The sequence below is a fragment of the Homo sapiens genome, chromosome 8, assembly GCF_000001405.40.
Source record: "Homo sapiens chromosome 8, GRCh38.p14 Primary Assembly".
NCBI classification, from domain to species: Eukaryota; Metazoa; Chordata; class Mammalia; order Primates; family Hominidae; genus Homo; species Homo sapiens.
The window spans coordinates 36,719,017-36,730,008 of record NC_000008.11 but is presented as its reverse complement, the minus strand read 5'-3'; positions in this window follow the sequence as shown (position 1 = coordinate 36,730,008).

Sequence of the window (10,992 nt, the reverse complement as noted above, 5' to 3'; positions counted from 1 at the left end):
TTTCTAAATATACAATCTTGTCATCTGCAAACAGAGACAATTTGACTTACTCTTTTCCTAACTGAATACCTTTATTTCTTTCTCTTGCCTGATTGCCCTAGCCAGAACTTCCAACACTATGTTGAATAGGAGTGGTGAGAGAGGACATCCTTCCTTGTCTTGTGCTGGTTTTCAAAGGGAATGCTTCCAGTTTTTGCCCATTCAGTATGATATTGGCTGTGGGTTTGTCACAAATACCTCTGATTATTTTGAGATACATTCCATCAATACCTAGTTTTTTGACAGTTTTTAGCATGAAGGGCTGTTGAATTTTGTTGAAGGCCTTTTCTGCATCTATTGAGATAATCATGTGGTTTTTGTCATTGGTTCTGTTTGTGTGTTGGATTACATTTATTGATTTGCCTATGTTATACCAGCCTTGCATCCTAGGGATGAAGCCAACTTGATCGTGGCGGATAAGCTTTTTGATGTGCTGCTGGGTTTGGTTTGCCAGTATTTTATTGAGGATTTTTGCATTGATGTTCATCAGGGATATTGTCCTAAAATTCCCATTTTTTGTTGTGTCTCTAGCGGGCTTTGGTACCAGGATGATCCTCGCCTCGTAAAATGAGTTAGGGAGGATTCCCTCTTTTTCTGTTGATTGGAATAGTTTTAGAAGGAATGGTACCAGCTCCTCTTTGTACCTCTGGTAAAATTTGGCTGTGAATTCACCTGATCCTGAACATTTTTTGGTTGGTAGGGTATTAATTATTGCCTCAACTTCAGAACCTGTTACTGGTCTATTTAGAGATTCAGCTTCTTCCTGGTTTAGTCTTTGGAGGGTGTATGTGTCCAGGAATTTATCCATTTCTTCTGTATTTTCTAGTTTATTTGCATAGAGGTGTTTATATTATTCTCTGATGGTAGTTTGCATTTCTGTGTGATCAGTGGTGATATTCCCTTTATCATTTTTTATTGCATCTATTTGATTCTTCTCTCTTTTCTTCTTTATTAGTCTTGCCAGTGGTCTATCAATTTTGTTGATCCTTTCAAAAAACCATCTCCTGGATTCATTGATTTTTTGAAGGGTTTTTTGTGTCTCTATCTCCTTCAGTTCTGCTCTGATCTTAGTTATTTCTTGCCTTCTGCTAGCTTTTGAATTTGTTTGCTCTTGCTTCTCTAGTTCTTTTAATTGTGATGTTAGGGAGTCAGTTTTAGATCTTTCCTGCTTTCTCTTGTGGGCATTTAGTGCTATAAATTTCCCTCTACATACTACTTTAAATATGTCCCAGAGATTCTGGTATATTGTGTCTTTGTTTTCATTGGTTTCAAAGACCATCTTTATTTCTGCCTTCTTTTCGTTATGTACCCAGTAGTCATTCAGGAGCAGGTTGTTCAGTTTCCATGTAATTGTGCAGTTTTGAGTGAGATTATTAATCCTGCATTCTAATTTGATTGCACTGTGGTCTGAGAGACAGTTTTTTATGATTTCTGTTCTTTTACATTTGCTGAGGAGTGTTTTCCCACCAATTATGTGGTCAATTTTTGAATAAGTGTGATGTGGTGCTGAGAAGAATGTATATTCTGTTGATTTGGGGTATAGAGTTCTGTAGATGTCTATTAGGTATGTTTGGTCCAGAGCTGAGTTCAAGTCCTGGATATCCTTGTTAACCTTCTGTCTCGTTGAGCTGTCTAATATTGACAGTGGGGTGTTAAAGTCTTCTATTATTATTGTGTGGGAGTCTAAGTCTCTTTGTAGGTCTCTAAGGACTTGCTTTATGAATCTGGGTGCTCCTGTATTGGGTGCATATATATTTAGGATAGTTAGTTCTCCTTGTTGAATTGATCTTTTTACCATTACATAATGGCCTGTTTTGTCTCTTTTGATTTTTGTTGGTTTAAAGTCTGTTTTATCAGAGACTATGAATGCAACCCCTGCTTTTTTTTTTTTTTTGCTTTCCATTTGCTTGGTAGATCGTCCTCCATCCCTTTATTTTGAGCCTATGTGCGTCTTTGCATGTGCGATGGGTCTCCTGAATACAGCACATCGATGGGTCTTGACTCTTTATCCAATTTGCCTGTCTGTGTCTTTTAATTGGGGCATTTAGCCCATTTACATTCAAGGTTAATATTGTTATGCTTGAATTTGATCCTGTCATTATGATGTTTGCTGGTTATTTTGCCTATTAATTGATGCAGTTTCTTCATAGCATCGATGGTCTTTACCATTTGGCCTGTTTTTGCAGTGGCTGGTACTGGTTGTTCCTTTCCATGTTTAGTGCTTCCTTCAGGAGCTCTTGTAAGGCAGGCCTGGTGGTGACAAAATCTTTCGGCATTTGCTTGTGTGTAAAGGATTGTATTTCTGCTTCACTTATGAAGCTTAGTTTTGCTGGATATGAGATTCTGGGTTGAAAATTCTTTTATTTAAGAATGTTGAATATTGGTCCCCAGTCTCTTTTGGCTTGTAGAGTTTCTGCTGAAAGATCTGCTATTAGTCTGATGGGCTTCCCTTTGTGGGTGAATTGACCTTTCTCTCTGGCTGCCCTTAACTTTTTTTCCTTCATTTCCACCTTGATGAATCTGACAATTATGTGTCTTGGGGTTACTCTTCTCGAGGAGAATCTTTGTGGTATTCTCTGTTTTTCCTGAATTTGAATGTTGGCCTGCCTTTCTAGGTTAGGAAAGTTCTCCTGGATAACATCCTGAAGAGTGTTTTCTAACTTGCTTACATTTTCCCCGTCACTTTCTGGTACATCAATCAAATGTATATTTGGTCTTTTTACATAGTCCCATATTTCTTGGAGGCTTTGTTTGTTTCTTTTCACTCTTTTGTCTCTAATCTTGTCTTTTCACTTTACTTCATTAATTTGATCTTAAATCACTGATATCCTTTCTTCCACTTGATCAAATCAGCTATTGAAACTTGTGCATACATCACGAAGTTCTCATGCCATGGTTTTGAGCTCCATCAGGTCATTTAACGTCTTCTCTACACTCTTTGTTCTAGTTAGCCATTAATCTAACCTTTTTTGAAGGTTTTTAGCTTCCTTGCGATGGGCTAGAACGTGCTTCTTTAGCTCGGAGAAGTGTGTTATTACTGACCTTCTGAAGGCTACTTCTGTCAACTCATCAAACTCATTGTCTGTCCAGTTTTGTTCCCTTGCTGCCAAGGAGCTGCAATCCTTTGGAGGAGAAGAGGCACTCTGTTTTTTTGAATGTTCATCTTCTCTGCTCTGGTTTCTCCCCATTTTTGTGGTTTTATCTACCTTTGGTCTTTGATGTTGGTGACCTATAGATGGGGTTTTGGGGTGGATGTTCTTTTTGTTGATGTTGATGCTATTGCTTTCTGTTTGTTAGTTTTCCTTCTAACAGTCAGGCCCCTCAGCTGCAGGTCTGTTGCAGTTTGCTGGAGGTCCACTCCAGACTCTGTTTGCCTGGGATACCACCAGCGGAGGCTGCAGTAAAGCAAATATTGCTGCCTGATTCTTCCTGTGGAAGCTTTGTCCCAGAGGGGCACCCACCTGTTTGAGTTGTCTGTCGGTGCCTACTGGGTGGTGTTTCACAGTCAGGCTACATGGGGGTTAGAGACCCACTTGGGGAGGCAGTCTGTCTGTTCTCGGAGCTCAAATGCCATGCTGATAGATCCACTGCTCTCTTCAGAACTGTCAGACAGGGAGGTTTAAGTCTGCAGAAACTGTCTGCTGCCTTTTGTTCTACTATGCCCTGCCCCCAGGGGTGGAATCTATAGAGGCAGTAGGCCTCCCTGAACTGCCGTGGGGTCCACCCAGTTTGTGCTTCCTGGCTGCTTTGTTTACACTGTAAGCTACTCAAGCCTCAGCAATAGCTGACGCCCCTCCCCCCAGCAAGCTGTTGCAGGTCCATCTCAGACTGCTGCCTTAGCAGTGAGCAAGAATCCGTGGGTGTGAGACCCACTGAGCCAGGCACGGGAGCATATCTCCTGCTCTGCCAGTTGCTAAGACTGTGGGAAAAGTGCAGTATTTGGTCAGTGGTGTACCATTAATCCAGGTACAGTCTGTCATGGCTTCCCTTGGCTAGGAAAGGGAAATCCCCCGACCCTTTGCACTTCCCAGGTGAGACAGTGCCCCACCCTGCTTCAGCTTGCCCTTCATGAGCTGCACCCACTGTCCAAGCAGTCCCGCTGAGATGAACCAGATACCTCAGTTGGAAATGCAGAAATCACCCGTCTTCTGCGTCAATCTCACTGGGAGCTGCAGACCAGAGCTGTTCCTATTCAGCCATCTTGGAAGCAAGCCTAAATTGAGTTTCTTACCTTGAGTCTGATGTTTACCTTCTTACAGAGCATTAGAAACTACCTTAATTAAAACTAATAATTTAAGCAAGAGCTAGGTTCTTGTCATCAGATAAATTTGTTGTCTTTTGATTGAGACTAACACTTAGAAGTTAAAAAAAAGGTCATTTAATATTAAGGATCTGATCTTGGGTCAGGTCAGCATGATCCACATAACGGTTTACTTAAAATCTTTTTTTTCCATAATAAGCTTGTCTTAATTCCCTGATATTCAATTTTGCACAGAAGAATCACCTGGGGAACTTTTAGAATGTCCATACCTGCAGCCACTACCAGATGTCCAGGTATAATTGGTCTGGAAGTGGGGCCATGGACATCAGGATTTTTAGAAAGTTTTCTGGTGATTCTAATAGACAGCCACAGCTGAGAATCATATCCTACTAACTTAAACTTCTGTTATCACACCTGTCTGCTGCACACATCACAACTACCCACATTCTTCACCCCTCTCTAAAGGCACCAAGCCCTTCTAAATGTTTTTGCCATTGTTTGCACTGTTTCTTGCCACTCAGATTTCATTCAGTGAATTCACACTTACTATCTTTGTGACTCACATCAAATCCATTTTGTGTTTTTTTTTTTTTTGGCGACATAAACCCTGTCTTCCCATGGAGTTAATTCCTCCCTGTTTGATGTCTCCATAGCCCACAGCTGACTTGTTTACCATTTCTCATTGCATTTTTCCACTGGATTGTGTGTTTGTTGAGGGCAAGAAAGAGTTCATTTCTTTTAGCAGCTTGATTGCTTGGCACATAGTAAGCAATTAATAAATGTGTGTTTGATTGAACTAACATTATGTGAGAAAAATAGAGTGATTTCTAAGCTGTATGTTGAAGTCACATTCAAAAAAATTTTTAAAAGCATCCTTTTTATGTGTTATGTATATAAATTAAGGCACAGAACTGAAGTCTGAGAGTCCCATTTTCCTATTTTCTGATCTGGGCAGTCATTGGATTTATCTGAGGGTTAGTTTCATCACCTTTGAAATAAGGGAGTTGTTTAAGATGATGCTTAAGTTCTCATTGATTCTGAAAGCAATTCATAGTTTATAGAATGTAGAATGTTCAAATAGCCTAGTGGAGTGTGAAGAAGACTTGCAACTTCATGTTTGCGAACTATGTATATAGTAAATTCATGTTAACCACCTTGACGCTTATTTTCACGTACTGAAACTTTCTCTGAAGCCCAGAAAATCAAGAAATTTGCTGACCTACCTGCCAATCCTTCAATAAGCATCTATCACTGAGTGGATGGCCACCAAATGTCACATAGTGATGATGGTGTTATAGATGTCTACCTCTTTTATTGATCATTTATCCTTAAGCTGCAATAGCACTAACATATGCTGTATTCATGCTAATAGTGTTTGTTTGACAAGCAATATTGATTTACCCTTCATGACTCTAGAAAGATGAGTGGTAGGTGAAGTGAAATTAATTTTAGAGGACCACGTTGTTTATTCCAAGTGAATATACAATCCTTACCCTAGAATAAAAAATTCTCAATTTGGGGATCAAATTATGTATCACTTTTTGAACAGCTTCTACGTGCCATGGATTATACTTTACATTGTCTCATGTGTACCTTTTACTATTTGTTAACATGGCAAGATAGGTTTATTTATTACATATCTTTAAATTTTATTATGAAAAAGTTTAAACATCTAAAAATTTTGGGGCATAGTGCAATGAGCATCCATATATCTATTAGCTAGATTTAACATTTTGACATTTACTTTATCTAATTTTTAAAAAATAAATTATAGATACCATAGCATTTTAACCCAAATTCTTCAGTATGCATCTCTTAAAAAAAAGCAGTTTCAAAATAACAATTACCAATACTATTATAGCACCAAATGATAGCAACAATTTTTTAATATTACCTAATACCAATTTCACGTTAAAATGTTCCCAACTGAATACAGATTATGTGGCATATAAAAATACATATTGTCCAAACTAGGATCCAGTACAGTAACCTACATTTCACTTGGTAGCATTTAAGAGTTTTTTGTTCGTTTGTATTTTTTTTTGTTTGTTTGTTTGTTTTTGAGACAAAGTCTCACTCTGTCACCAATCTGGAGTGCAGTGGCAGGATCTCAGATCCCTGCATCCTCTGCCTCCCAGGCTCAAGCAATCCTCCCACCTCAGCCTTCCAAGTAGCTGGGACTACAAGCACGCACCACCACATCCAGATAATTTCTGTATTTTTTGTAGAGACGAGGTTTCATCATGTTGCCCAAGCTGGTCTTGAACTCCTGGACTCAAGAAATCCACCCACCTCAGCCTCGAAAAGTGCTGGGATTACCGGTGTGAGCCACTGCACCCAGCTGGTAGCATTTATGTTAACACATTTTTCCTCTAGCACAGTCCTCCCTTTACCTTTTCTTTTTCATGGCATTAAATTTTAAAGAGACCAGGAGACTTCTAGTTTTGGCTCTGACATTTAAAGGGTTTGGAAATCATAACTCCTGTCCTTACAACATGAAAAAGGCTGAATAAGCTGATAATCAGTTACTAGCTTTGGACCTATCAGAGAGTTGAAGTCTCAGAAAAAACTACCACCCCAAATTTGGAGAACTAAGCAAATCCAGAGAGCCCCCTCCAAGATCTGTTCACCTGGAACATGTTGCTGGAGCAATACAGTGGTAGGAAGACTTAAAGGGTAATTTTGACAAATTGGTGGAGGCTGAATAGAAATAAGAATGAAAGTTAGAAACTCTTGGAGGCCAGAGTCTTAAGGGGACCTGGAAAGTTTATTAAGTTTTACTTCCAAGAACCCTACCAGGTTCTCACATTGAATAACTGAGAAAGATCTTCTCATGGTTCTGGCTGAGGAAGCAGAGACATAACCATTATGATCATTCTCCCAAAGCCCTGCTCTCTAAAGGGAAAGACTTCCTGTGACTTACCCCAGCTGAAGAAAGGGCATCTGCTCTGCTGCAGTCCTCTCTACAGTTCCTGTCTCGCCTAAGTTGAGTGAAGTGATGGGAGTCAGAAAGAAACACATGTGAAAGTTACAGCTCAGGGACATAGGCCCATTTGAAGATCAAGGTTTAATCATAAGATTAGAATGTTTTCCTTCATCCAAATTCTACCACTACATCCACAGGGTCCAGTATAATGTTGGAATATGGCTGAAAGAGCTCTAAGATAAAGACGCTGCATAAGCATTCCTACACAACAAGGAAGACTAAAGCAAGAGGAATTTGAAGCCTCTGGAACCTACAACTACATCAAACATTAAACGCAGCTCTGGCTAGAAAGATTTTATAAAAACAAAAACAAAACCAAAAACAAACACAACGCAACTATATGCCAGATTAATATTTTTAAAAATACACACAAAAGGTACTCACCTTAGTTCTTATTACTTGACATATCATGGAAGGCTTTCAACAAGAATTACAGGGTATAGAACAAAAGCAAAAGCAAAGCCAGCATTAGAGGCAAAGCCGGCATTAGAGGCAAAGACGGCATTAGAACCAGACTCAGATATGACACACATTAGGATATTAGCATTATTAGGATATAACCAAATACCTATGGTTAATGTATTAAGGGCTTTAATGGAAAAAAATTTGGCAGCATGCAAGAAAGATGGGTAATGTACTTGGAAAAATGAAATCTCTAAGATGGAAATCAGAGGAATACGCTAGAAAGCAAAAACTCTGTAATGGAAATGGAGAATGTCTTTGTTGGGTTCTTCAGGAGAAGGCACACAGCCAAGGAAAGAGTCAATGAACTTGATGATGTCAATAGAACTTACCAAAATGGAATTCAAAGAGAAAAGGAACAAGAAACAACAATGGTGACATCAACGAGCTGCAGGGCAGAATCAAAGATATAACCTATACCTTATCAAAATATGAGAGGAAGAAAGCAGGAAGGGAATGAAAGAAATATTTGAAATAATCATGGAGAAATTTCTAAAATTAATGACAGACAACAAATCACAGATCAAAGACACTCCAAGAACACCAAGCGGTATAAATGCCAAAAAATCCACACCCAGGCACATCATATTTAAAGGGAGGAAAAATGATGGGAAAAAAATTATATAAGAAGCCAGAGAATAAAACACCTTGTCTATTGTAGAATGATAATTTCACTGAACTTCTTGTCAGAAACCATGTAAATAAGAAGAGAGTGTACTGAAATATTTAAAGGGTTGAAAAAAAACAGCCAATGTGGAATTGTATTTCCAGAAAATTATCCTTGAACAGTGGAAAAGAAATAAAGACTTTCTTAGACAAATAAAGAGTGACAGAATTCATTACTGGCAGAAAATCATATAAGAAATGTTTAAATTCTTCAGGGTGAGGGAAAATGGCAAAGATTAGAAACTTGAATCCATATAAAGAAAGAAAAAGCATCAGAGAAGAATTAAATAAATACAAATAAATCTTTTATTTTTCTTATTTTTAATTGATCTAAAACATAACTGTTTACAATAATAACAGTAAAATGTATTAGGTGATTATAGCATATTTTATAAGTGAAATGAATGACTACAATGTAATAAGTGATGGCAGGGAGAAATTAGGAACACTGTGTTATAGGGTGGAAGCAGTGTAATGTCTTGAAGGTGGATATAGTAAAGTGCAAAGACAATGAAAACCACTAAAATTTTTAAAAAGAAGTATAATTGTTATCCAAATGTAATGGAATCATAAAATACCCAATTACAATCAGATAAAGAAATAGAGGGAAACATGAGATAAGTTAAGCAAATATAAAGGAGTTACACAAGGCCAATATTAATATAATTATACCAATAAGCAATTTTTGTGTAAATTGTCTAAAGCACCAATTAAAAGACAGAGATTTTCAGAGTGAATTAAAGAAAACAAGACACAATTGTATATTGTCTGCAAAATACATTTTAAATATAAAGATTCAGGTATGTTAAATGTAAAGAAACAGAGAAAGATATACTACACTAACATTAGTACAAAGAAAACTGGAGTAGCTATATTAATTTCTTAATGGCACCAACTTCAGAACAGGGAAAATTATCAAGAATAAAGAAATGCATTATAGAATGATAAAGGAGTTAATCATTCAAGAAGACATAACAGTATTTAACAAGTACATGTATAACAACAGAGCATAAAAATATGCATGGCAGAAATGAATAGAACTGCAAGAAGAAATAGACAGATCCATTATTGTACTTGGAGACTTCAACATATTCTTTCTATAATTGACAGATGAAGCAGGCAGGAAGTCAGTAAGAATATAATTGGCCTGAACAACACCATCAATTAGCTTGATTGAATTGACATTTGTAGAATACTCTATCCAATACGAACAGAATATACTTTCTTGTCAAGCTCACATGGAACATTGACTAAGATGCAACACATTGTGGGCCACAAACAACACATGAACAAATTTAAAGGTATTGAATTCATACAAAGTATGTTCTCATTCCACAGTGGAGTTAAACTGTAAATTAGTAACAGAAAAAAGCTGGAAAATAAAAAATATTTGAACATTAAACAACATACTTCTAATAACATTAGTCAAAAATAAGTCTTGAGAGAAATTTAAAAACTCTTTGAACTAAATACAAATGAAAATATTACTTAAACTGTGAGATTCAGCAGAAGCATTGCTTAGATGGAAATTTATAGCATTGAATACATTATTAGAAAGAAAGATCTGAAAATAAATCTGAATTTCTCTCACATAAGACTAGAAAGAAAAAAAAATTTAAGCCAAAAGGAAGCAGAATAAAAAAAATAGAGCAGAAATCAATGAGATTGAAAACAGGAATACAATAAAGAAACTCAACAAAACCAGAAATGGGTTATTTGAAAAGATAAATAAAATTGGTAAATTTGTAGCCAGTCTCATGAAAAAAAAAAGAAGAGGTGTAAATAATCAGTTTCAGAAATGAAACATGTCATTATTACTGATTTTATGAGTACTCAGAGGCTAATAAAAAACTATGAACAACTTTGTGCCCACAGGTTTGATAACCTAGATGACACAGACCAAAGCCTTGAAAGACATAAACTACCAAACTCATAGAAGGAGAAGTAGATAATTTGAATACACCTATATCTATTAAGGAAATTCAACCAATAATGTAAAAACTTCCCAAAAAAGAAAGCACCAGGCCCAGATGAGCTCACTGGTGAATCTAAAAAAATTTGTGAGGAATGATATCAATTGTCTACAATCTTTTCCAGAAAATGGAAGCAGAGATAATATTTTCTAACAAATTTTATAAAACTAGTATTACTCTAATTCCAAAATCAAAGACATTATAATAAAAAATTGGCAAATATCTTCCATAAACATAAATGAAAAAATTATCAACAGATAGGGGATAGTGATAAAGGTGTATGGGAGCTGTTGTTCCATGTGTACAAAGTTACAGTTATGCAAGGTGAATGAGTTCCTGAGACCTGCTGTACAACACATGCCTATAGTTAATAATAGATATAGTGTAGTTAAAATTTTCAGACAGTGGATCCAGGTTAAGTGTTCTTACTATAAAAAAGAAAGAAAGAAAGGGAGAAAGGAAGGATGGAAGGAAAGTAGGAAGGAAGGAAAGAAGGAAGAGAGAGAAAGAAAGAGAGAAAGGAAAAAAGAGAAAGAAAGGAAGAAAGAAAAGAGAAAAAGGAAGGAGAGAAGGAAGGAAAGAAGGAAAGGAAGGAAAGAAGGAAA